Here is a 27,844-nt window from a genome sequence, read left to right on the forward strand (position 1 = left end):
TTATCTCTCACATTCCAAATGAGAAAACAGAAGCACAGAGGGGTAAAATAATTTGTCCAGATACACAAGCTGAGATGTATGACTCCATGAAAGTTAGTGAATATTACTCAAAAACCAGTCTTACAATGACAGTGCTTCGGCCCAACTCTTAAGCACTGGCACATACTACTTCCCTCGACAGTAACAACTAAGGCAATTTCATGTGGTGTGTCATGGATGATCATGCGGAAAGCACTCAGGGAATGTGTGAGCCAGCCCCAAAGAAAATGCCAGAAAAAGCCAGGCTTAGTGGCTCGCACCTGTAATCCCAGCACTTCGGGAGGCTGAGGCAGGTGGATCACCTGAGGTCAGGAGTTCAAGACCAGCCTGGCCAACATGGCGAGGCGCTGTCTCTACTAAAAATACAAAAATTAGCCGGGCGTGGTGGCGGGCGCTATAATCCCACCTACTCGGGAGGCTGAGGCAGAATTGCATGAACCCGGGAGGCGGGGGCTGCCATGAGATGATATTGTGCCACTGCACTCCAGCCTGGGCGACACAGCAAGACTGTCTAAAAAAAAAAGAGAAGAAAAAACAAAATGCCAGAAAAAGAAAAAGAAAAGCCAAACAGTAAAAACCTTCATTGCCAAGTTTAGTATCCCATATCCCCTAGAAATTGAAAACAAGATCTATTTGAACACTCTGCTGTAACCTAACAATCATGAAAAACGAAAACTGGTAGCTTATTTTTGTGTCATACTAAAATTGGGAAAAAATAGGTATCTTTCCCAAAGATCTGATGATTTTATGAGAGATTTTTATGAGAAAGCTGAAATATCATAAACCAGCTGCTTAAAGCTCATAAAGCCCAAAATCATTTCATTTCAAAAAAATAATGTACATGGATGTCTGAAATCTTCATTAGTGTTTTCTCCAGTGCCCTCTAATGGCCATAAGATGAAAAAGCAAAGAAAAATACATACCCACAAATTATCCCAAACTCTTCACCCACTATAAACAAAGTTTTTAAATTCTTTTTTCTTTTTTTTTTTTTTTTTTTTGAGATAGGGTCTCGCTCTGTCACCCAGGCTGGAGTGCAGTGGCGTGATCTCGGCTCACTACAACCTCCGTCTCCCGGGGTCAAGCAATCCTCCCACCTTAGCCTCCTAGCAGCTGGGATTATAGGCACGCACCATCACGCCAAGCTAATTTTTGTATTTTTTGTAGAGACAGGGTTTCGTCATATTGCCCAGGCTGGTCTCGAACTCCTGAGCTCAAGCGATCCACCTGCCTAGGCTTCCCAAAGTGCTGGGATTACAGGCATGAGCCACTGCGCCCTGCTAAACAAAGCTTTTAAATAAAGCTTAACCTGGTAGAAAATACAAAAATCTCTCAATCAGCTATCACATGCATCATTTTCAGACAATTTCACCAATGAAAATTACTCAGATTTTTAATTAAGAGTCATAACATTACACATTCACGTTGACCCAGTATATCAATATGGGGAATGTGTAAATGTAGGAAAACATTCATACATTTTTCAAAAGTAAGAAAGGTCTCAGACCAGTGTTAATTATAAGAGCAGAAAACTTGAAAGCACATCAAATGACCAACTCTAAGAAAATGTATAAGCAAATTTAAAATGTCTAAGCAAGACCAGGCCCGGTGGCTATCCTAGCACTTTGGGAGGCCAAGGTGGGTGGATCACTTGAGATCAGGAGTTCAAAATCACCCTGGCCAACATGGTAAAAACCCCGTCTCTACAAAAAATACAAAAATTAGGCAGGCATGGTAGCACATGCCTGTAATCCTAGCTACTCGGGAGGCTGGGATGGGAGAACTGCTTGAACCCAGGAGGCAGAGGTTGCAGTGAGCCAAGATTGCACCACTGCACTCCAGCCTGGGCGACACAGTGAGACTCCATCTCAAAAAAAAAATAGGCGAGGCATGGTGGCTCACGTTTGTAATCCCAGGACTTTGGGAGGCCAAGGCAGGTGGATCACAAGGTCAGTGGATCACAAGGTCAATGGATCAAGACCATCCTGGCCAACACGGTGAAACCCTGTCTATACTAAAAATACAAAACTTAGCTGGTCGTGGTGGCGCGTACCTGCAGTCCCAGCTACTCGGGAGGCTGAGGCAGAACAATCACTTGAAAGAGGGAGGTAGAGGCTGCAGTGAGCCAAGATCGTGCCACTGCACCCCAGCCTGATGACAGAGTGAGACTCCATCTCCAAAAAAAAGAAAAAGTAATTAAAAAATAATAAAATGCTCATTTCAATGTCTGTCCGGCTTTTCAAGATTATAAAGCACTTTCATATACAACAACTCTATGTTCCTCAGGAAAGGAGATTAAAGCTAGGGAAGGTTAAACTGTACATTTAGATCACCAAGTTATAATCTCGCTGGACCAGACCTTGTACCCATATTCCATCTACTTGTCATTCTTTTTTTCTTTTTGAGATGGAGTCTCACACTGTCGCCCAGGCTGGAGTGCAGTGGCACGATCTCGGCTCACTGCAAGCTCCACCTCCTGGGTTCACGCCATTCTTCTGCCTCAGGCTCCCGAGTAGCTGGGACTATAGGCGCCTGCCACCACACCTGGCTAATATTTTTGTATTTTTTAGTAGAGATGGGGTTTCATTGTGTTAGCCAGGATGGTCTCGATCTCCTGACCTCATGATCTGCCCATCTCAGCCTCCCAAAGGATTGGGATTACAGGAGTGAGCCACTGCACCCGGCCTCCTTGTCATTCTTAATAGCTCCTCTTCCCGGGCTTCAAAATACAAAAGCTACTAAAAATGACAAAGACCACATGGCCACATGGAAGTACAAGTTGAGTAGCTTTAGCTGAAATGCTTAGGGGATCAGAAGTTTTTCAGATTTCAGAATTTTTTTTAGATTTTCAAATACTTGCATTATGCTTACCAGTTGAGCATCCCAAATCTTCGAAGCCAAAATCTGAACTGCTCCAATGAGTATTTCCTTTGTTTTGTTTGTTTTGTTTTGTTTTTGAGATGGGAGTCTTGCTGTGTTGCCCAGGCTGGAGTGCAGTGGCACAATCTTGGCTCACTGCAACCTCCGCTTCCGGGGTTCAAGCGATTCTCCTGTCTCAACCTCCCAAGTGGCTGGGACTACAGGCATGCGCCACCATACCCGGCTAATTTTTGTATTTTTAGTAGAGACGGGGTTTCGCCATGTTGGCCAGGTTGGTTTCAAACTCCTGACCTCAGGTGATCTGCCTGCCTCAGCCTCCCAAAGTGCTGGGATTACAGGTGTGAGCCATCATGCCCGGCCACATGTTTGTATTTTTGAGACAAGGTTTTACTCTGTTGTCCAGGCTGGAGTGCAGTGCTGTGATCATAGCTCACTGCAGCCTTGACCTCCCAGGCTCAAACAATCCTCCCACCTCAGCCTCCCAAGTAGCTGGGACCACAGGTACCAGCTACCACGCCCAGCTAACTTTTTATGTTTTGTAGAGACAAGGGTCTCACTATGTTGCCCAGGCTGGTCTCAAACTCCAGGGGTCAAGAGATCCACCCACCTCAGCCTCCCAAAGTGCTGAGATTACAGGAATGAGCCACCAAGCCCGGCCTGGTGCAGACGTGAATTTATTTTGAGACAGTCTCACTCTGTCACCCAGGCTGGAGTGCAGTGGCGTAATCTAGGCTCACTGCAACCTCCGCCTCCCGAGTTCAAGCGATTCTCCTGTCTCAGCCTCCTGAGTAGTTGGGACTACATGCATGTGCCACCACGCCAGGCTAATTTTTATATTTTTTTAGTAGAGACAGGGTTTCACCATGTTAGCCAGGCTGGTCTCGAACTCCTGACCTCAGGTGATCTGCCCGCCTCGGCCTCCCAAACTACTGGGATGATAGGCATGAGCCACCAAGCCCGGCCCGAGTATTTCCTTTGAATGTCATATCAGGACTCAAAAAGTTTCATATTTTGAAGCATTTTGGATTTCAGACTTTTGGATTAAGGACACATGACATGTATTAGGAAGTAAGTAACAAAATGCTAAAACAAGAGAAAGATGCTAATTTTAAATTTAGAAAATAACTATAATGTTATAGTTAGAGTATTATATTCATCACAGTATTTTTTTAATTTTTTTTATTAATAGAGACAGAGTGTTGCTATGTTGCCGAGGCTGGTCTCAAATTCCCGGGCTCAAGCAGTCCTCCCACCTCAGGCTCCCAAAGTGCTGGGATTACAGGCAGAGCCACCACACCCAGCCTGGAATTTTTTTTTATGATAAGCTTTACAAAAGAAACCAAATAATCCAATATAAAAATAGATGAAACACAGTGTACAATAAAGAATAAGATGTCTAGCCTTTGTCCCCAGCTCCTGGAAAATTAACCTCTAAATCCTTGAACATTCTCAAGTGATAGGATTATCTTTTTTTTTTTTTTTTTTTTTTTTTGAGACAGAGTTTCACTCTTGTTGCCCAGGCTGGAGTGCAATGGTGCAATCTTGGCTCACTGCAACCTCCACCTTCTGGGTTCAAGGGATTCTCCTGCCTTAGTCTCCCAAGTAGCTGGGATTACAGGCATGCACCACCACGCCTGGCTAATTTTTTTTTTTTTATTTAGTAGAAACGGGGTTTCACCATGGTGGTCAGGCTGGTCTCCTGACCTCAGGTGATCCACCTGCCTCGGCCTCCCAAAATGCTGGGATGACAGGTGTGAGCCACTGTGCCCGGCCAGGAGTATCTTTGTTACTCATGGTGAGCCCTTCAGACTACATCTGATGTTTTATGCTAATTAGGTGTCTCATGGCGGACCCATAGGGCAATGTGGTATCAGCCCAAAATTCAGGAGGAAGAGGGGGTGCTCAAGACTGAGCCCTACCACAGAGGCAATCAATTAATCAATCATGCCTAGCTAATGATAGCTCAATAAAAACTGGGCCAGGCACAGTGGCTGACGTCTGTCACCAGCTGCTGGTCTGCCCCACTGGGTCTGGCAGCCCTCCCAGGATGGGCCCACACCCTCCTCCTCCAGTCCCTGCCCAGCAGCTGCACTTGATCCCTCTGTAGTCTCTTTGCTTCTGGCTGGTAAATGATGTCAACCTGCTGCCTTGGCTGCCAGACCCTGTACACAACTCAACTTCTGTTGTGTGACCAGTTCATGGTTTATTCTCTATTTGTCTCTCATGTCTTCCTTTTCCCCTGAAGAATCCTGTCTTCTCTTTGGCCATCTCAAATTGAAATCCTAAACTATTCCTGCAGAACTGCCTGGCTGGCACCCACAAGCAATACCTCTTGTTCCAGCACGACCAAGGGAGCCAGCCTCCAGTGAGTGACTCCAGCAAGTGCGGTCACCTCTCCCTTGAGGGTCTGGGAGCCCGGCCCCAGCAAGGGGCCCTCCTGACCTCTGGCTCTAGTGAAGCTGAATGTCCTCACTTTATGGGTCACACTCTTTCCATTTCTGTAAAGAATCTTGGCATACCTGGGGCTTACCAGTGGCCCAGGTGATTTTTGTTTCATGGACTATGGACTGTTTCAAAGGGATCTGATCCTTTTGAATTTTGCACAGCCCTAGATATAATCTCTTTTGATAAAAGGGTCTTTGCTTCTGATTAGAGGAGCGCTATGGAACGTCTGTAAACATGTTTTTATAATCCCATGTATAATTGGTATGCACTCACATAATACCAGTCCCCAGCAGCCGCTCTTCTCTGTATAGGGCCATAATAGGATTCCGAAGAAACCTTGGGGAGGGAGGGGGAGTTGGAACAAATGTCTATTCCCTGGAGCCCAGTCTGGCGCTCAGACCTTTAGACTCATTATAAGTTGCCACTGCCAACATGACACCAAAGTGTGTGAGTTGTCAATGCAGCGCGACAGCATTAAAGACTGATGCTAAACCTCAAAAAAAAAAAAAAAAAAGGAAATATCAAAACTATTCTGACCTGAGGACAATGGGAGCCTTGGACTTAAGAACAATAGAACAGGACGGGCACAGTGGCTCACGCCTGTAATCCCAGCACTTTGGGAGGCCAAGGTGGGCGGATCATAAGATCAGGAAATCGGGACCATCCTGGCTAACATGGTGAAACCTCGTCTCTACTAAAAACACAAAAAATTAGCTGGGCATGGTGGCATGCACCTGTAGTCCCAGCTACTCGGGAGGCTAAAGCAGGAGAATCGCTTGAACCTGGAAGGTGGAGGTTGCAGTGAGCGAGATGGCGCCACTGCACTCTGGCCTGGGCAACAGAGAAAGACTCCGTCTTAAACAAACAAACAAAAAGAACAATGGAACTTCCCAGGCATTGCCTTGTGCATGTCTTCCCTTAGCTGATTTTCTGTATCCTTTCCTCTATACCCTTGAGTATAAAAGCTTTCAGGGAGCTCTGTGCGTTTTTCTAGCAAATTATCAACCTGAGGATGGTCTAAGGACCGCAACAAATCTGTAGCTGGTGTCAAAAATGGGAGCAGTCTTGGAGACTGTGGTCTCAAACCTTGCAGTTTGTCTAATTTCAGGCAGACAGAAAGAAATGATTCAGGCCAGGCGCAGTGGCTCACGCTTGTAATCCCAACACTTTGGGAGACCGAGGCGGGTGATCATTTGAGGCCAGGAGTTTGAGATCAACCTGGCCAACATGGTGAAACCCCATCTCTACAAAAAATACAAACTAGTTGCGCATGGTGGCATGCACCTGTAATCCCAGCTACTCGGGAGGATGAGGCAGGAGAATCACTTGAAACTGGGAGGCGGAAGTTGCAGTGGGCCGAGATCACACTACTACACTCCAGCCTGGGCAACAGAGCAAGACTCCATCTCAAAAAAAAAAAGAAAGAAATGTTTCACAGGAAAAGAAAAAAGAAAGAAAAAATGCAAATGAACAATAAACACAAAATGCATCCAATCTCACTCAAAATTTTAAAAATGCAAATTAACACAAAGCTACTGTTTTTCAGATTGACAAGATTTGAAAGATTGGTAACATCTCAGATGTAGAGAACAAGTACTCTCATTTCTCTTCTACAATGGAAACAGAAGGGAAACTTTTTGCAACTTTTACAAGGCGATTTGGAAATATCAAAACTACAAACTCCCTTAGATGCCGGAATTTCAATTTTAGGAATTTATTCTTCAGATAAGTTTATATCAGCCACAAAAAATATGAGCAAGAGTATCCATTACCAAAATGAGAAAACACCTGAATGTTAATGAACAAGAGCCAAATAAATTGTGGGACATCATTATGAACTACCTTAAAATGAACCTTACATTGAATTCATCTAATATGACAGGACCAGAAAGTTGTCATGTTAAAGCGAAAGAAAAGCAGTCTGTAGACCAGGAGTACAAAATGATCCCATTTGTGTAGCCAAAAAACAAAATTATACCAAAACAAATGTGTTTATAAAAGGCAATAAAATACCTGCAAGAATATTGTCAAACTGAAAACTGTGGTTACTATGAAAAGCGGATCCAGGAAAAACAGGAACAGAGGACTGCTGTCTGTGAAATTTTAAAACACATGTCAACAGGGTTTTAAATTAAAGGAGGCCAGGCACGGTGGCTCTCAACTGTAATCCCAGCACTTTGGGAGGCCAAGGCAGGTGGATATCTTGAGGCCAGGAATTTGACATCAGCCCAGCCAACATGGCAAAACCCCGTCTATACTAAAAAAATACAATAGCCAGGTGTGGTGGCACACATCTGTAATCCCAGCTACTCGGGAGGCTGAGGCAGGAGAATTGCTTGAACCCAGAAGGAGGAGGTTGCAGTGAGCTGAGATCGCATCACTGCACTCCAGCCTGGGCAACAGAGCAAGACTCCATCTCAAAAAAAAATAAAAAATAAAAATAAATTAATTAATTAAATGAAACTACAAAGAGAGGATCAGATCAAGTTAAAAATTTTCGAAGAAATATCTGAGAAACAGTTTTACAACATTAAAAATGGCTCCCCTGGCCGGGAACGGTGGCTCACGCCTGTAATCCCAGCACTTTGGGAGGCCGAGGTGGGCAGATCACAAGGTCAGGAGTTCAAGACCAGCCTGGCCAAGATGGTGAAACCCCGTCTCTACTAAATCTCTACTAAACATACAAAAATTAGCCAGGCATGGTTGCAGGCGCCTGTAATCCCAGCTACTCGGGAGGCTGAGGCAGAGAATTGCTTGAATCCCAGAGACGGAGGTCGTATTGAGCCAAGATCACACCACTGCACTCCAGCCTTGGCGACAGAACGAGACTCCGTCTCAAAAAAAAAAAAAAAAATGCTCCCGCAGATCACAGAGATGAAAGAGTAGAGAGCATGGAGGTAATGAGAGAGGGTTTTTGAAGACTTCTCTAGAGAATGTTGGTAAGGTACTTTAAGTTCTCTCCACTCCCTCAAAAAGAGAGAGGCTAGAGGGAGCTGTCAGCCTCTTACCTCTAGCCCCACAAGAAAACTGCCAATCCAGCCTCTCAAAGAAGTTGCGCTGTATCCCCCGCCCTCAGAGGATTACAGATTGACGTACGGCTGCTGCCTAGGAAATTCAGAAGCAAACGGATCAGCTACTTGCATTAGCAAGTGAGCACTGCTGCTAGGTAGGAATTGGCCTGTCCCCTCCAAATAAAGAACTCAGGCGTGTTCCCCTGACAGCAGGATGGGGGCAAGGGAGATCTCAGATCTTGACCCATTGGTCAAGTAGAGCAGAGAGCAGGTGACAGACTTCAAAAGAGAAGCCAGAGGGACAGGGCACAGAGGAGGAACTAAGCAGCCATCAGTATACTTCTTGGCCAGGTGCAGTGGCTCACGCCTGGAATCCCAACACTTTGGGAGGCTCAGGCAGGAGGATCGCCTGAGGTAAGGAGTTCAAGACCAGCCTGGCCAACATGGTGAAACCCCATCTCTACTAAAATTACAAAAATTAGCCGGGCGTGGTGGTACGCACCTGTAATCGCAGCTACTCAGGAGGCTTACACAGGAGAATCGCTTGAACCTGGGAGGCAGAGGTTGCAGTGAGCTGAGATTGTGCCACTGCACCCCAGCCTGGATGAGACAGCGAGATTCTGTCTCAAAAAAAAAAAAGGTATACTTCTCTGCTGCCGGAAAATGGGCTCAAAAAAGAAGGAAAAAGAAAGACAAAGTACACTTCTCAGCTTCTCAGAGTACATTTTGCTCAGCGCAAGGGACTTGCCAGGGAGATGGTCATGGAAGATATCTCCAAAGAAGCCATGAAAACATTCCCTGGAAAGAGAGTCAACTCAAAACACATGACTAGGAGAGTGAGCACAAAGACCTCTATGACAGCAGTGATCAAGTAACAACTTCCCCACTTTTCTTTTTTTTTTTTTTTGAGACAGGGTCTAACTCCCGTCGCCCAGACTAGAGTGCAGTGACACGATCTCGGCTCACTGCAACCTCTGAATCCCAGGCTCAAGCGATTCTCCTACCTCAGCCTCCCAGTAGCTGGGATTACAGGCGCCATCACACCTGGCTAATTTTTGTTTTTGTATTTTTGGTAGAGACAGGGTTTTGCCATGTTGCCCAGGCTGGTCTCAAACCCCTGAGTTTAAGTGATCCATCCATCTCGGCCTCCCAAAGTGCTGGGATTACATGTGCAATTCAGCATGCCCGGCCTCCTACTTCTGTTTATCTGTCCTGCCTCCCCCCAGCTGCTCCCAAACCCTACGGAGATCCAAAACAGCAGCTAACAAATAGGCTGGGTGACAGAGTGAGACCCTGTCTCCAAAAAAAATAAAATAAAAATAAAACAAAAAAATCCACTGCAAATTTCCCAAAATGTCCAGACAATGGTCTTTTCTCTTTGATCCAAGACTAAAATTTACAAAATGCTTTTGGATTTTCTCATCGTCTCTTTTAATCCTAGAATGGTTATCGCCTCACCATGTTTTTTTGTTGTTATTGTTTATGATATTGACATTTACAAAGTCTAAAAGGCTTGTGGCAAATACTGGATTTGTCTCATTGTTTCCCCATGATGAGATTCAAGCTAAACATTTTTTGACGCGAAACTACAGAGATGATGTGTATGTGTCTTGCTATACATCTTATCAGCAGGAACATGGGTCACATTTTAGTAGAAATGATGATGCTAAATTTGGTTGGTTGGTGTAGGTGGGAATCACCTGATCTCTCCATTTGTAAAGGCACATTGTTCCCTCTGTAATTAGAAACTAATATGTGGGGGGTTTTCCCCACTCATTCCTCATTTCTAGTTGGTTTAGTTTGTGGGATGATATTTTGAGACACTGAGTATCTATTCCCCAAAGACATTTCACACAATCCTTGCTTAAACCAATTTGTTTTGTTTTGTTTTGTTTTTGAGAAGGAATCTTGCTCTGTTGCCCAGGGTGGAGTGCAATGGTGCAATCTCAGCTCACTGCAACCTCCGCCTTCCAGGTTCAAGTGACTCTCCTGCCTCAGCCTCCCCAGTAGCTGGGACTACAGGTGTGTGCCAACACGCCTGGCTAATTTTTGTATTTTTAGTAGAGACGGGGTTTCACTATGTTGGCCAGACTGGTCTCGAACTCCCGACCACAGGTGATCCGCCCACCTCGGCCTCCCAAAGTACTGGGATTACAGGCGTGAGCCACCATACCCGGCTGAATCCTTGCTTAAATCAATTATTACACTAGGAATTGCAAACAGCTGATTTTCTAATTCTCTCATGCCTTACATAGTTAGTATCTAGAAGCCTTCTCCTACACAACACGCCTCCTGTTTGAGCCGCACACAGACTGATTTTTTTTTTTTTTTTTGAGATGGAGTCTCGCTCTGTCGCCTAGGCTGGAGTGCAATGGCGCAATCTCAGCTCACTGCAAGCTCCGCCTCCCGGGTTCAAGTGATTCTCCTGCCTCAGCCTCCCGAGTAGCTGGGATTACAGGTATGCGCCACCACGCCCAGCTAATTTTTAGTCGAGACAGGGTTTCACCATGTTGGCCAGGTTGGTCTTGAACTCCTGACCTCAGGTGATCCACCCACCTCGGTCTCCCAAAGTGCTGGGATTACAGGCATGAGCCACCGCGCCAGGCCAACTAATTTTTTTTTTAATTTGATGTAATATAATCTATTACGTTCATTAATCTTTTTGAAGCTCAAATTGTTCCAAGTTTGGCCTGTAAGAAACCCTTCGAGTTGGTTCCTACGTCTTTTTGGCAGGTGTCCATAAGTCTCTGAGGCCCCACTTGTTCAGTAAGATGTCCCAGGGCTCATCTGTTACCCTTCTTTCACCAGTCCTGAAACCAGCCCTTTATCATAAGGAATGCTATTCAGAAAAACAAGATCTGAGTGCTTAGTACATTGATTATTTCTGGGTCTGCGGCACAATAAAGAATATATCTGGGCCAGTCATGGTACAATGGTGCAATCTCGGCTCACTGCAACCTCCACCTCCTGGGTCAAGCGATTCTCCCGCCTCAGCCTCCTGAGTAGCTGGGATTACAGGCACGTACCACTATGCCCAGCTAATTTTTGTATTTTTTTTAATAGAGATGGGGTTTCATCGTGTTGGTTAGGCTGGTCTCGAACTCCTGACTTCAGGTGATCCGCCTGCCTCAGCCTCCCAAAGTGCTGGGATTACAGGCATGAGCCACCACACCCAGCCATATATATCTGGTCTTTGACCCTGGTTCTTGGTACACAGCTTCAAAAAACCTTGGCATTTCCTAAGTAATAGATTCAGGATGAAAGCTGATCACCAGAAAGAAACCATGTGATTAGAGGATTAGAATTTAGGGCCAGCCTGACCTTTGAGGAAAAGAAGTATACTGGAGATTGAGCTTAATCAACTGCCCAATGATTTAACCCAATAGTGCTTGCATGATGGGATACCAATAAAAACCCTGGACACTGAAGCTCAGTGGGGCTTCCTGGTTGAGGAACACACTGATGTGCCTGGATTCCAAGAGGACAGGACACAGAAGCTCTGTGTCTCTCCCTCATGCCCACTCCCCAGAGTATCTCTTCCATTTGACCGTTTCTGATCTGTGGCCTTTATAATAAAACTGCAACCTAGATCAGCCTGGGCAACATGGTGAGACCTTGTCTCTAGAAAGAAATTTAAAATGACCTTTGCATGGTGGTGTATGTCCATAGTCCCAGCTACTCAGGAGGCCAAGATGGGAGGATCCCTTGAGCCCAGGAGTTCAAGGTTGCAGTGAGCTGTGATCACACCACTGCACTTCAGTCTGGATGAAGGAGTGAGACCCTGTCTCAAAAACATCAAAAAACAAAAAACAAACCTGCAATCTTAACTATAGTGCTTTCAGGGAGTTCTGTGAGTCATTCCGGCAGAAAAGTAGGTAGCCGTGAGACTTCCAGCAGGTATCTGAAGTCAGGGCAGTCTTCTATAGGACTCTGCCCTAAACATGTCCAGTCAGACACTAACTCTGGGTAGGACATATCAGAATTGAATTGAACTACAGGATACCCATTTGGTGCCACAGATCGATGTCAGAACATGCAAAGTCTTTCAGTGAACCCAGCTAGAAAATACTATTTATATATATACACACACACACACACACACACACACACGCACACACATATATACATGCATATTTAAACTAAGTTTGCAAATATAAACGCACATTTTTTTAAATCTTAAGTCCGTCTCAGCCGGCCGGGCGCGGTGGCTCATGCCTGTAATCCCAGTACTTTGGGAGGCCGAGGCGGGCAGATCACGAGGTCAGGAGATCGAGACCACGGTGAAACCCCGTCTCTACCAAAAATACAAAAAATTAGCTGGGTGCAGTGGCAGGCGCCTGTAGTCCCAGCTACTCGGGAGGCTGAGGCAGGAGAACGGCGTGAACCCAGGAGGCAGAGCTTGCAGTGAGCCGAGATCGCGCCACTGCACTCCAGCCTGGGCGACAGAGCAAGACTCCGTCTCAAAAAAAAAAAATAAGTCGATATCAGCCTCCAAATAAAATCCAACACCACTTGGAAATCACATTAATGCATATCAATCCACCATAGTATTATTCAGAGCCACACAACAATATTCCATTGTGTGGATATACCATGCTTTTTTCAACCAGTATTCGACAGAGTTGTTTGCTATGTATGCTGCAATGCATAAGCCTGTGGAAATGCTGTTTTGCATTAATGAAGCTGTATCTTTAAGGCAAATTCATACAACTGGGCCTGCTGGATCATGGATAAATGCATATGTGATTTTGGTAAAAACTGTCAAAAGCCCTTCCATACAGGCTAGACCATCCTGGACTCCCACCTGCAAGGTATGAGTGCCTGTTTACTCAGAGCCTCGCCTAACTGAGTATGTCATCCAGCTTTGGAGTTTTGTTATTATATTCTGAAAGGTGAGAAATGTTTATCAGTGTAGTTTTCATTTGTATTTCTCTTATTATGAGTAAAGTTAAGCATCTTTTCATGTTTAAATCTCTCTGTAGAGCCATTTGTGAGAAATTCTTATTCATGTGTTTTGCCAACTTTTTCTACTAGGTTTTTGGTCAGCTGGAATTACAGGCATGCACCACCACACCCAGCTAATTTTGCATTTTCAGAAAAGATGGGGTTTCACCATGTTGGTCAGGCTGGTCTCGAACTCCTGACCTCAAGTGATCCACCTGCCTTGGCCTCTCAAAGGGTTGGGATTACAGGCATGAGCCACGGCAACTGACCGGGTCTGCCTTTTTTTTTTTTTTTTTTTTTTTTTGAGACAGAGTCTTGCTCTGTTGCCCAGGCTTGAATGCAGCGGCATGATCTCGGCTGACTGCAACCTCTGCCGCCAGGGTTCAAAAGATTCTCGTGCCTCAGCCTCCCAAGTAGCTGGGACTACAGGTTTGCGCCACTATGCCCGGCTAATTTTTTTTGTATTTTTTAGTAGAGATGGGGTTTCACCATGTTGGCCAGGCTGGTCTCGAGCTCCTGACCTCAAGCGATGCACCCACCTCGGCCTCCCAAAGTGCTGGGATTACAAGCATGAGTCACCACATCCAGTCAGGTCTGCCTTTTTTTCTTTTGAGACGGAGTCTCGCTCTGTCACCCAGGCTGGAGTGCAGTGGCGCGATCTCGGCTCACTACAAGCTCTGCCTCCCAGGTTCACGCCATTCTCTTGCCTCAGCCTCCCAAGTAGCTGGGACTACAGACGCCCACCACCACACCTGGCTAATTTTTTGTATTTTTAGTAGAGACGGGGTTTCACCGTGTTAGCCAGGATGATCTCGATCACCTGACCTCGTGATCTGCCTGCCTCGACCTCCCAAAGTGCTGGGATTACAGGCATGAGCCACCGCACCTGCAGGTCTGCCTTTTTTTTAAAAGAGTTCATTGTATAGTAAAAAGATTAACACCTTGTCTGAGATATAAGGGGCAAATAGTTCCTCCTGTTTTGCCTTTTGATTTTCCTTATGGCCATATAAAACACTTTAAAGTCATTCATAAATTTAATATTTTTTCATTGCTTCTAGATTTTGAATCATACAGAAAAGCTTTCTCCAGGTTATACAATAATCCATCTGATTCTACTATGGCCATGTAAAACACTTTAAAATCATTCATAAATTTAATATTTTTTATTGCTTCTAGATTTTGAATCATATAGAAAAGCTTTCTCCAGGTTATACAATAATCCATCTGATTCTACTATCTATATAATTTTTTCAACATTCAGCATTTAGCTCGCTCATCCATTTGGAAATTATTCTGACATATATACAAGCTAACAGATGTTTCACATCTTTTTTTTTTTTTTTGAAACAAGGTCTCCCAATGTCATGCAGGCCGGGGTGCCGTGACATGATCACAGCTCACTGCAGCCTCAAACTCCCAGGTCCAAGCAATCCTTCCACCTCAGCCTCCCAAGCAGTTGTGACTACGGGCACATGCCACTACATCTAGCTAAATTTTTTTATTTCTTGTAGAGATGGGGTTTCACTATGTTGCTGAGCCTGGTCCCAAACTTCTGGCCTCAAGAAATCCTCCCATCACGTCAGCCTCCCAAAGTGCTGGGATTACAGGGTGAGCCACCGCACTCAGCCAACATAATTTATTTTTAGAGTCCCTTTTAAACTCCAGGTCTTCAGAGTCCACTTTTAATATATATGAAATTCCTACATATTCTTAGAATTTTATTCTGTTGCAAGGGTCTTTGTCTCATCATGAGCCAGTACTACAGTTTTAATTAGAGATACCTTGTGGTATGTTTCAATATGTGGGAGTCTTGACAGAGCAAGACTCGAAAAGTCAAAAAAAAAAAAAAAAAAAGGCAGACCTGGCTGGGTGTGGCGGCTCATCCTTCTCATCACTACTTTCACCAGGGTTTTCATAACTATTATTCCATGTTTATTTTTTCCACATGACTAGATCAATCTAGATCTAGGAGGCTAGAGGACCTACTAGAATTTTTATTGGGATTCCATCAAACTTATATATTAAGAGAACTGATATGTTTACCATTGAGTCACTCTACCTAAAACAAGGAATGTCTTTCCATTTGTTCGAGTCCACTTTGATATCATTCAGGAATGTTTTAAAGTTTTCCAACGTAGGTTTAAGACATTTCTTTTTAAATTAATCTGTAGGTAGGCCAGGTGTGGTAACTCATGTGTGTAATCCCAGCACCACAGGAGGCCAAGGCGGGCAGATCACCTGAGGTCAGGAGTTCGAGACCAGCCTGGCCAACATGGTGAAATCCCGTCTCTACTAAAAATACAAAAATTAGCTCAGCGTGGTGGTGTGCACCTGTAGTCCCGGCTACTCGGGAGGCTGAGGCAGGAGAATCACTTGAACCCAGGAGGCAGAGGTTGCAGTGAGCCGAGATCCCACCACTGCGCTCCAGCCTGGGTGACAGAATGAGACTCCATTTCAAAAAAATAAAAAATAAATTAATCGGTAGGTAATTATTGATCCTTTATGTAGCTAGTCTAAATGAGGTGTTCTCTTTTACTATAGCTTCTAACTGGTTATTGTTTGGAAATATAAAGTCTATTGACTTTCTACATTGTGATATCCTGCTAACCTTACTGAGTTCATTTGAATTTGTATAGGTTTTAGCATTGATTTTCTTGGATTTTCTAGTAGCTTTTTTTTTTTAAGGCTTATGGACTACATATAATTTTAATTTAGGGGAGTCTCATTTTCCAAAACTCACAGTTAAATTGAGGCTGTTATTTTTATAGTATAGTATGTACAATATTACTTCAATTTTAGATCACTGGAATCTGCATGAAATCCTACTGCATCGTACATTCTCACATTCATCTAGTCACTGAAACAGTCACATCCCAGATTGGTATTTCCTGGATTCCTAGGGGCCCCACTCATGCTGATCTCCACACCCACAGACCAGGCTGCCATCCTTAAGCCCCAACACCACTTAGTCTATACAGCAGAGAAGCAAATTTACACTGGAGTTTCACTTGGAATCTCAACCATAATAAATCCTATCATGCTGTTCATCTTCAAATAGCCCTGAATAAAATCTTTCTAACCATCTACAACAAGCTTGTCCAACCCACAGCCCACTGGCCCAACACAAATTTATAAGCTTTCTTAAAACATTATGAGATGTATTTTGCGATTTTTTTTTTTTTTAGCTCATCAGCTATCATTAGTGTATTTTATGTGCGGCCCAAGACATTTTTTCTACCAATGTGGCCCACGAAAGCCAAAAGATTGGACACCCCCGATCTACAATGTCCTCAGTCCTTGTTCTCAAATCTCCTGCTTATCCTCTGATGAGCTGACTTTCACAGGCCTGAGAGGGGAGATGCTCACCACGCTCATGAAAAATGGCAAAAAAATTATAAAACTCTCAAGACAGAAGCTAGAGAAATGAAACTCCTCTGTGAGCTCAGATGGACTACACAGTAATAAAGAAATACTAAATGTTAACCAACTGCGGGAGCCAAGTGCAACATTTCCCAAAGTAATGGTACCTTTTCTTTCTTCACGTGATCCATAATTTTGCCCAAATCTTCAACATCAACAATGGAATTTAGGCTCTGATGGTCCTCACCACCAAACTCTTCTTCACTGGAGCTCTCGAAGGGTTCTTCCTCCTGGAAGAGAAATGCTTCAGAAATACATTGTTCAAAGGGGCAAAGGCAAAGTTCTCTCACCCTCCCTCCCACACTGAGAATTCACTATGTCTCTAAATTCTTTTTTTTTTTTCTTTGAGACAGGGTCTCGCTCTGTCGCCCAGGCTGGAGCGCAGTGGCGTCATCTCGGCTCACTGCAACCTCCACCTCTCAGGTTCAAGCGATTCTCCTGCCTCAGCCTCCCAAGTAGCTAGGATCACAGGCGCCTACCACCACGCCTGGCTAATTTTTGTAGTTTTAGTAGAGACAGGGTTTCACCATGTTGGCCAGGCTGGTCTCGAACCCCTGACCTCAGGTAATCCACCCACCTCAGCCTCCCAAAGTGCTGAGATTACAGGCGTCAACAACAGCGCTCGGCTGTCTATAAATTCTTACTTTAAAAATAAAATCTAGGCTGGGCATGGTGGCTCACACCCATAATCCCAGCACTTTGTGAAGCCAAGATGGGAGGACTTTGAAACCTCAGGAGTTTGAAACCAGCCTGGGGAACATAGCAAGACCACATTGCTACAAAAAATGTATACAATTAGCCAGATGTGGTAGCACATGCCTATAATCCCAACTACTTAGGAGGCTGACGCAGGAGTGTCACTTGAAGCCAGGAGTTCAAGACCAGCCTGGGCAACATAGTGAAACCCTCATCTCTACAAAAACAACAACAACAATGAAGAAATAAATCTTAAGTCTTTAGCATCAGACTAACAACTGTGAAAGGGCATGACGGAGTGGGAACAACTAACACTTCACCTGCCCTCTCACGTCACAGTGACATGAGCTGGGCTCAGGGGAACGAGACACATGCCAAGCAGAAGTAGAGGAAATGTGACATCACTGGGAAGACACATTTGCTGAGTATCTACTACGTACCCCAACACAATGTTCATATACCCATTCATTTCATCCTTAACTACTTATGATGTAGACAGGTTCAACATCATCTCATAGATGAGGAAATTAAAGGTAGAGAAGTTAAGAAATCACGGCTAATACGTGGCAGCCTTCATCCCTTTCTCCAATGAAGGATAAGGCAGAATCAAACGTTAGAGAGATTTTTTTGTTTGTTCTTTGTTGTTGTTGAGTCTCGTTCTGTCACCCAGGCTGGAGTGCAGTGGCGTGATCTTGGCTCACTGCAACCTCCACCTCCTTGGTTCAAGCAATTCTCATGCCTCAGCCTCCAGAGTAGCTGGGACTACAGGCATGCACCATCACACCCGGCTAATTTTTGTATTTTTAGTAGAGAGAGGGTTTCACCATGTCAGCCAGGCTGGTCTCAGACTCCTGACCTCAGGTGATCCGCCCGCCTCAGCCTCCCAAATTGCTGGGGTTACAAATGTGAGCCACCGTGCCCAGCTGATAAAGAGATTTTTAAGAGGTGAAGTAGTTGTTTGTTTTCAACAGCAGGTACTTTCTCAGTAACTCAAGGGTCACTTTAAAAGAAACAGGCTGGACACAGTGGCTCACTCCTGTAATCCCAGCACTTTGGGAGGCCGAGGCAGATGGATCACCTGAGGTCAAGAGTTTGAGACCAGCCTGATCAACATGGTGAAACTCTGTCTCTACTAAAAATACAAAAATTAACCGGGCGTGGTGGCGTGCGCCTGTAGTCCCAGCTACTCCAAAGGCTGAGACAGGAGAATTGCTTGAACCCAGGAGGTGGAGGTTGCAGTGAGCTGAGATCGTGACCCTGCACTCCAGCCTTGGCAACAGAGCAAGACTCCATCTCAAAAAAAAAAAAAAAGAAAAAAATTAAATTAAAACAAACAAAGTGTCAATAACCATATGCTGGCCAATATGCCCCACAGTATAGCAGAGAGATGTCATATAATCAGATGCTGCTGATCAAGTGTTCAATACAAAATAAAACAGCCCCTCTTAGGCGAGGTCATGCCTGTCCTGCGCCAGATGATAGGATTATCACGGACAGCTATGACAATACATAAATGAATGAGCATGGCCATGCTCCCAAAACTTTTATTTTAAAAAATTAAAAAACAAGCTGGGTGCAGTGGCTCACACTTATAATCCCAACACTTTGGGAGGCCAAGGCAGGAGGATCACTTGAGCTCAGGAGTTTGAGATCAGCCTGGGCAACACAGTGGGACCTCATCTCTACAAAAAATTTAAAAAACTTAGCTGGGCATGATGGTGCATGCCTGTAGGCCCAGCTACTCAGGAGGCTGAGATAGGAGGATCACTTGAGCCCAGGAGTTAGAGGCTGCAGTGAGCTATGCACTACTGCACTCCAGCCTGGGGGACAGACTAGCCCGTCTCAAAAAAAACAGGCAATAAGCTGGATCTGGCCAGTGAGCCTGTTTGCTGATCCCTGTCCTAGACTCTCCTTGATAACTTCTCCTTAGACTCAAGTTTCTAATGGAAAGACTCATGTTGAGAATTTACTTTTTCCAAAAGGAACCTATTTCGTCTTCACATCAAATCAAATCAAAACTGCTAACTTGGTTCTGCGACCTTGGGAAACTTCAAAAGTTATCTTGAACACTGCATATACTCATGGTAGCCAGTACTGCTTGAAAATTAATTCGACACATTCCTCTGGTCCTCACAAAGATGCCAATCCAGTAAGAGACACACAGATACTACATCAAAAGGGGCAATGCTTTAATGAAAGGGTTTAGGAATACGAAAAGGAGCCATGCAGTGGGCTCCAAATCCACGGGTGGCTGCCTGAATGATCTACCCGCCTCAGCCTCCCAAAGTGCTGGGATTACAGGCGTGAGCCACCACGCCCGGCCAGATCAAAAGAATTTTAAAGGCCAGGCACAGTTGCTCATGCCTATGATCCCAGCATTTTGGGAGGCCGGGCCAGTGGATCACTTGAGCCCAAGTGTTCAAAACCAGCCTGGGCAACATGGTGAAACTCCATCTCTGCAAAAAATAGACAAATTAGCTAGGCATGGTGGCACATGCCTATAATCCCAGCTACTTGGGAGGCTGAAGTGGGAGGATCACCACTGCCTGGGGAGGTTGAGGCTGCAGTGAGCCATGATCATACCGTTGTACTCTGACTGGGGGTGACAGAATGAGACCCTTTCTCAAAAAAAAAAAAAAGGAGTGTTGTTAAAGTAGAGGCCACAGAATGAGGTCATAGTAAGCATGAGAGGAACTTGAATTTCAGATGTGCCTATGTAAGGGAGAGACCAAGGTCAGTGGAGAAATGGTTGCTGGAGGTGTGAAGGCCAAGAAACTGCAGGCCAGGGTGCTAGACAGATCATCCGCAAGGATGCCACAGCCCCAAAGAATAATGATAGGAACAGGGATGGAGAGAGAAACAATGAGTCAGAATGTAAAGTTGCTGCTGAATTATGCAACTGACCAGGTGGCCAAAAGATAACAGCTGTGAAGATGACAGGAGTGTTACAGCCTGAAGACAGGAGCTTCAAAGGAATTGGGGTATTTAAAGAAGGAAGCAAGAGAAATGCTCAGAATGTGAGGGAAAAAGCGGAATCTAGGATGACTTGCAGCCTTCAGTTTGAGTGACTAATGGAGTCATTGAAGTCAGGAGGTATGTGTGATCTCAGGATAATGAGACGTGAGCTCAGGCTGGGACAAATTTAACTTCTCTGTGGCTCCGTTTCGCAACTTGCAAAATGTGGTAAAAATCTACTTGACTCTAACAATGCAAGGATTAAAGAAGACGTTTTGGTTGTGTGTGTGTGGGTTTTTTTTTTTTTTTTGAGACTGAGTCTCACTCTGTCACCCAGGCTGGAGTGCAGTCGCGTGATCTCAGATCACTGTGACCTCCACCTCCCGGGTTCAAGCGATTCTCATGCCTCAGCCTCCCGAGTAGCTGGGATTACAGGTGCCCGCCACCACACCTGGCTAATCTTTGTATTTTTAGTAGAGGTGGGGTTTCGCCATGTTGGCCAGCATGGTCTCGAACTCTTGACTTCAAGTGATCCACCCACCTTGGCCTCCCAAAAGTGCTGGGATTACAAGCGTGAGCCACCGTGCCCGGCCTAAAGAAGAGATTCTGGAAAGCATCTAGCACGATATGGCTTAATTCCTAAGGCCTCTCTCTCTCTCTGAAACACCACCACATGAGTTTCACATCTTCCTTCTTTTTTTGTTATTTTTTCTGTCTTTGTTTTTGGGGCAGGGTCTCACTCTGCTGCCCAGGCTGGAGGGCAGTGGCATGATCACAGCTCACTGCAGTCTCAAATTCCTGGGCTCAAGCAATCCTCCCAACTCCACCTCCTACGTAGCTGAGACAACAGGCATGCACCACCATGCCTTGCTAAATTTAAAATTATTGTGGTAAAGATAGGGTATTGCTATGTTGCCCAGGCTGGTCTTGAACTCCTGGACTCAAGCAATACCCCCACCTTGGCCTCCCAAAGTGTGGGGATTACAAGTGCGAGCCACTGCACTCAGCCAGATCTTCCTTCTAACCAGAAGCCAACGAGATGGTTTATTGAGGAAGAGCTCAAGCTCGAGATCTCCAAGCAGAGGGGGAAAGCATCAAGAGATGAACACACAGGCGGTATACCTTGGTGTCTCTGTGATGCAATTCGTCCTGCTCTTGAGATCCTTCCTCCCTCTCCTCTGAGCCATGTTGGTGAGATTCACATTTGCCTTTCTTGCAGTGGCCGCCACAGGACTTCTTTCTCTCCCCTTTCTGAAGTGCCTGCAGCTGGGAGATGAACTTGGTCTTCCATGCTCTGAAGTTGGCCTCAATGCTGCCGTGCTTGCTTTTAACCACGTCGCAGTCGCCCTCCCCTCGACTCATCACACGATGCACGCCAAGCATCCAGAGCCACTTGTCAACATTTTTGCCAACCTGCGAGGAAAAGATAGATAGGCTAAAAGCACGGTTCTCTAAATCAGGGTTTTCCAGACTGCTCTGCAAAAGCCCAAAGTCCTTCTGGGGCCCCTGGTCATGGGCTACCACTAAGAAAGAGGAAATTGCTGGCAAAATGACCTTCAAGCCTTCAAGCTCCAGCCTTGACCCAGAAGAGGGTCATTTTATGTATTCTACTTTTCTGCCTTAGATTTATTGTTTTAAACAAAAGGACAAACAAACCCCCTTTATCAAATGAAGGGTTAATGACTAAAAAAAAATTTGAAACCTACCATTCTATATCATGATAAGAACAAAACAGGAGTTAACAAAATAAATGAGTTCCAAAAATGTAACAAAGCCTATGGGGCCTAAGCCTATTCCGTTATAAAATGAAAATATAATCAATTTGGCAAGATTCGTAATTTCCTAAACTCAGTAATTTATTTCACTGTGATATGAAGCAATTAAGCTGAGGAACAGGGGTTATCAGAGGCATAGTTAAGAGTTCAAAAACTTAATAAGCTTCCTGAGTGGCAAGGCATTAAACAAAATATTTACATATCTACGCCAGGCGAAGTGTCTCACGTCTGTAATCCCAGCACTTTGGGAGGCTGAGGCAGGCAGATTGTTTGAGGCCAGGAGTTCAAGAGAATTCCTTGAACCCTGGAGGCAGAAGTTGCAATGAGCCGAGATTGTGCCATTGCACTCCAGCCTGGGCAAGAGAGTGACTCTGTCTCAAAAAAAAAAAAAAAAAATTTACATATCTGAATTTTCCCATTCATAGTCTAATTTATTTGAAAATATGGGGAGAGGCCAGATGCAGTGGCTCACGCCTATAATTCCAGCACCTTGGGAGACCGGAGTGAGAAGAATGCTCAAGCCCAAGTTCAACACCAGCCTGGGCACCAAAGTAAAACCCCATCTCTACAAAAAATACAAAAACTAGCTGGATGTGTGGTGGGCGCCTGTGGTCCCAGCTACTCAGTAGGCTAAGGTGGGAGGATCACCTGAGCCCAGGGAGGTCGAGGCTGCAGCAAGCCACTGAACTCCAACCTAGGCAACACGGTGAGACCCTGTCTCAAAAAACACATAATCAAAAATGTTTTTAATGAAAATATGGAGCAAAATCTACACAACAATAGAATGAAAACAGCTTTTATTTTATTTTACTTTTTTTTTTTTTTTGAGACGGAGTTTCACTCTTGTTACCCAGGCTGGAGTGCAATGGCACGACCTCGGCTCACTGCAACCTCTACCTCCCGGGTTCAAGTGATTCTCCTGCCTCAGCCTCCCAAGTAGTTGGGACTACAGGCATGCGCCACCATGCCCGGCTAATTTTGTATTTTTAGTACAGACAGGGTTTCTCCATGTTGGTCAGGCTGGGGTCGAACTCCCGACCTCAGGTGATCCGCCCGCCTCTGCCTCCCAAAGTGCTGGCATTACAGGCTTGTGCCACTGCACCCGGCCGTAAACAGCTTTTAAAGAAAATTCCCCACCTCCACCGTCACTCACACTCCACCAGAGACAGACAGCTAGGCAGGGCCCATCCCTAGGAAGAGGTACACAATGCAAATGACCAAGAAACTGAGAGGCTCCATCGTTTCATTTTTTCAAGTGTAGAGAACAGGATGAAAAAGGAGCCAAGTTAATTTTTTCCTCCATTTCCCTTGAAAAATTCATGATTTTTTTTTTTTTTTTTTTGAGATGGAGTCTCACTCTGTCGCCCAGGCTAGAGTGCAGTGGTGAGATCTCGGCTCACTGCAATCTCCGCCTCCCAAGTTCACGCCATTCTCCTGCCTCAGCCTCCCGAGTAGCTGGGACTACAGGCGCCCGTCACCACACCTAGCTAATTTTTTTGTATTTTTAGTAGAGACAGGGTTTCACCATGTTAGCCACGATGATCTCGATCTCCTGACCTCGTGATCCGCCTGCCTCGGCCTCCCAAAGTGCTGGGATTACAGGCGTTTGAGCCACCAGGCCCAGCCGAAAAATTCATTTTTTAAAACTGAGCTCAGGCTGGACACATTCATGCCTGTAATCCCAGAAATTTGGGAGGCTGAGGTGGGTAGGACTGCTTGAGGCCAGGAGTTTGAACCAAGCCTGGGCAACACAGTGAGACCCTCATCTCTAAAAAAATTGAAAGATTAGCCAGGGGTAGTGGTGCACGCCTATAGTTCCAGCTACTAGGGAGGCTGACTTGGGAGGATCCCTTCAGCCTAGGACTTCAAGGTTCAGAGAATGCTGATCAGGTCACTGCATTCCAGCCTGGATGACAAAGCAAGACCCTGTTCTGAAAAAAATAAACATAATTAAAAAAAAATTTTTTTTAAGAGTTCACCTGCATAAAGAGCTTGGGCAGGCTGGGCATGATGGCTCACACCTGTAATCCCAGCACTCTGGGAGGCCGAGGTGGGTGGATCACCTGAGGTCAGGAGTTCAAACAGCTTGGCCAACATGGTGAAACCCTGTCTCTACTAAAAATACAAAAAAATTAGCCAGGCATGGTGGTGGGTGCCTGTAATCCCAGCTACTCGGGAGGCTGATAAATGAGAATCACTTGAACGCAGGAGGCGGAGGTTGCAGTCAGCTGAGATCACGCCACTGCACTCCAGCTGGGGGATAGAGCAAGACTCTGTTTCCAAAAAAAAAAAAAAAAACACAGAAGAGGCTGGGCACAGTGGCTCACTTTGGGCAGATCACATGAGGCCAGGAGTTCACAACTAGCCTGGCTGGCATGGTGAAACCCCGTCTCTAGTAAAAATACAAAAATTGGCCAAGCGTGGTGGCACATGCCTGTAATCCCAGCTACTCGGGAGGTTGAGGCAGGAGAATCACTTGAACCCGGGAGCTAGAAGTTGCAGTGAGCTGAGATGGTGCCACTGCACTCCAGCCTGGGTGACAGAGCAAAACTCTATCTCAATCAATCAATAAATAAAATAATAGAAGAAATGTATTTATTACTAGCTACCAAAGTTTGTGGATTATTTCACATACATGTGTGTTTATGTGTGTGTACGTGTGTGCACGTGTGTTTGTGTGTGTGTACGTGTGTGTGCGTGTGTGTGTGTGTTTATGGGGAGAATTTATTCCTATAATTCAATATAGACCTACCTTGTTGAAGTGGCTAGCATAGGCAGAATTTCCCAGGCCAAATACCGCATCTCTCATACCCTTCAGGTAAGTTTTGCCAAATCGAAAATCAATGGATGCTTCCTCTAACCATTTGCAGAACCACTCTGCACTTTCGGTTGGTAGGCCGTCAGTGTATGTCGCAACCAGGAAGACACAGACATTTTTACTAGTCACCTAACCAAGAAAGTAATTGTTTCAGTGGAACATACAAGGCATAAATTATCTCAACGAAGAAAATCCTTTGAAAAAAAGCATACTCATCTCAAAGAACAAAGGGTACCTTCATAAACATGGCTCATTTTCGAAAGTGAAGGGCCTGACTAAGAAACACAGCAAGAACAGCTTGCACGGGGGAGAAAACCCAGTCCCTTGCTCCTGCCAATATACCTCCTGGTATATTTCATCATATACGCCATTCCATTATCCAGACTATACATTCTCATCATTGCTGATTTGCCACAGTGGAAACAAAATCCAAATCAATCAAGAAAAAATACAGGCCGGGTGCGGTGGCTCAAGCCTGTAATCCCAGCACTTTGGGAGGCTGAGGCGGGCGGATCACAAGGTCAGGAGATCGAGACCATCCTGGCTAACACGGTGAAACCCGGTCTTTACTAAAAATACAAAAAATTAGACAGGCGTGGTGGTGGGCGCCTGTAGTCCCAGCTACTCAGGAGGCTAAGCCAAGAGAATGGCGTGAACCCAGGAGGCAGAGCTTGTAGTGAGCCGAGATCGCGCCACTGCACTCCAGCCTGGGCGACAGAGCAAGACTCCATCTCAAAAAAAAAAAAAAAAGAAAGAAAGAAAAAAGAAAAAAGAAAAGAAAAAATGCAGAGAGATGGCCAGGCACGGTGGCTACTAATGGAAGAACACACCTGGGGAAAATAAGGCACCTGAGTTTCAAACCTGAAGAGAAAACAACAGCTCACGTTACTGCTTCCTTAGAGTGGAAGCTGCTCTGTGGTGTCAGAAAGACGAGGAATGTGGTGACCTTGCTTATCCAATAAGAGTTGTATTTGGTGTTTGAGATTGTTTTAAATCTCTGAAATCTCCAAAGAATAGGGGAACCATGTTCTCGGTTCATTACCATCTCCTCAGGCAGGAAGCTGTGAATATCCATATCAAGGCAGTGGATGTTGGCTGGGCCCAGTGGCTCATACCTGTAATCCCAGGACTTTGGGAGGCTGAGGCGGGTGGATCACTTGAGGTCAGGAGTTCAAGACCAGCCTAAGCAACAGAGTGAAACCCCGTCTCTACTAAAAATACAAAAACTAGGCAGGCGTGGTAGTGGGTGCCTGTAGTTCCAGCTACTCGGGAGGCTGAGGCAGGAAAACTGCTTTAGCCCAGGAGGCAGAGGCTGCAGTGGGCCACAATCACACCCCTGCACACTGCACTCCAGCCTGGGCAACGAAGCGAAGACTCCATCTCAAAAAAAAAAAAAAAAGGAAAAGAAAAGAAAAAATACAGAGAGATCTCTAAAAAATTATCTAATAAATTAAAGCAATAAAAATTTTTAAACATTAAGTAATTTAACACTTGGCACCATTATCTAAACAGAACTGTTGCAAATCCCAGGGAAACAAAATACAGGCTGGGTATCCATTATCCAGAATGTTTGGGATGGGAAGTGTTTTGGATTTTAGAGGTGTTTTTTTTTTTTAAATCTGCATATACATAATGATGTACCTTGGGGATGTATCAAGTCTAAACACAAAATTCCTTTGTTTCATATACACCTTACACACATAGCCTGTAGATAACTTTATACAATATTTTTGACAATTTCATATATGAAACAAAGTTTCGACTGCGTTTTGACCTTGACCCATCACAGGAGGTCAGGTGCGAAATTTTCCACTTGTGGCCTCCTGTCAGCGCTCCAGAAGTGTAGATTTTAAAGCATTTCCAATTTGCGGTTCAGGGATTCTCAACCTGTGTATCCTTAGTCTTGATAGCCTGGTGTTTGAATTCATCTTAAGAGTTCCAAGTCATGAGGTAAGTTACAAGTAATCTCTTAGTTACAAGTATCAAAGTTTGCTAATAATTTTTCACAAATAATTTAGAGCACATTCAAGCTCACTCATGTGCACACCAATACATTTTCTTGGGGGACAAAGAAATGGACAGAGTTAAAGCTAGATATTTAACCACTAAGACAGGGCCGGTAAACTACAATCCACGAGCCACATCTTGCTTGCTGCCTTTTGGGGTTTTTTTTTTTTTTTTGAGACAGAGTCTCACTCACCCAGGCTGGAGTGCAGTGGCATGATCTCAGCTCACTGCAACCTCCACCTCCCGAGTTTAAGCAATTCTCATGCCTCAGCCTCCCAAGTAGCTGGGACTACAGGCGTGCACCACCATGGCTAATTTTTCTATTTTTAATAGAGACAGGGTTTCACCACATTGCCCAGGCTGCTCTCATATGCCTGAGCTCAAGCGATCCACCAGCCTTGACCTCTCAACTTGCTGGGATTATATAGGCAAGAGCCACCCCACCTGGCCTCTGTTTTTTTTAAAGAAAGTTTTAGTGGAACACAGCCATATTCATTCATTTACATATTATCTATGGCTGTTTTGTGCCTCAGTGGCAAAACTGAGTAGCTGCCCAGCCCACAAAGGTGAAGATACTACCTGGCCCTTTACGTGAAAGTTTGTCAACCCCAGCTCTACATACTTCTTCTTTTTTTTTTTTTTTTTTTTTGAGACAGAGATTTGCTTTTGTCGCCCAGGCTAGAGGGCAATGGCGCAATCTCGGCTCACTGCGACCTCCACCTCCCAGGTTCAAGCAATTCTCCTGCCTCAGCCTCCCGAGTAGTTGGGATTACAGGCACCCACCACCAAGCCCAGCTAATTTTTGTATTTTTAGTAAAGACGTGGTTTCACCATGTTGGCCAGGCTGGTCTCGA

The 27,844-nt window shown here is 45.0% G+C and overlaps 1 protein-coding gene across 4 annotated transcripts in view; it reads right to left on the reverse strand.

The window, feature by feature from the left end:
• Positions 1-27,844, reverse strand: part of TYW1B (tRNA-yW synthesizing protein 1 homolog B) — a 253,688-nt gene that overhangs the window by 211,041 nt on the left and 14,803 nt on the right. For 3 of the 4 annotated variants that reach the window (NM_001412180.1, NM_001412179.1, NM_001145440.3), the window contains exons 4-6: positions 24,918-25,112; positions 21,513-21,803; positions 16,847-16,969 (exon numbers count right to left, since the gene is read on the reverse strand). In NM_001412180.1, the coding sequence (NP_001399109.1) occupies positions 16,847-16,969; positions 21,513-21,803; positions 24,918-25,112 (609 nt within the window). Of the gene's footprint in view, positions 1-16,846; positions 16,970-19,603; positions 21,804-24,917; positions 25,113-27,844 lie in introns of those variants that run through there. The other variant, NM_001412181.1, reaches the window with a different exon arrangement.

Source organism: Homo sapiens, chromosome 7 (assembly GCF_000001405.40).
Source record: "Homo sapiens chromosome 7, GRCh38.p14 Primary Assembly".
In the NCBI taxonomy this organism is placed as follows: domain Eukaryota; kingdom Metazoa; phylum Chordata; class Mammalia; order Primates; family Hominidae; genus Homo; species Homo sapiens.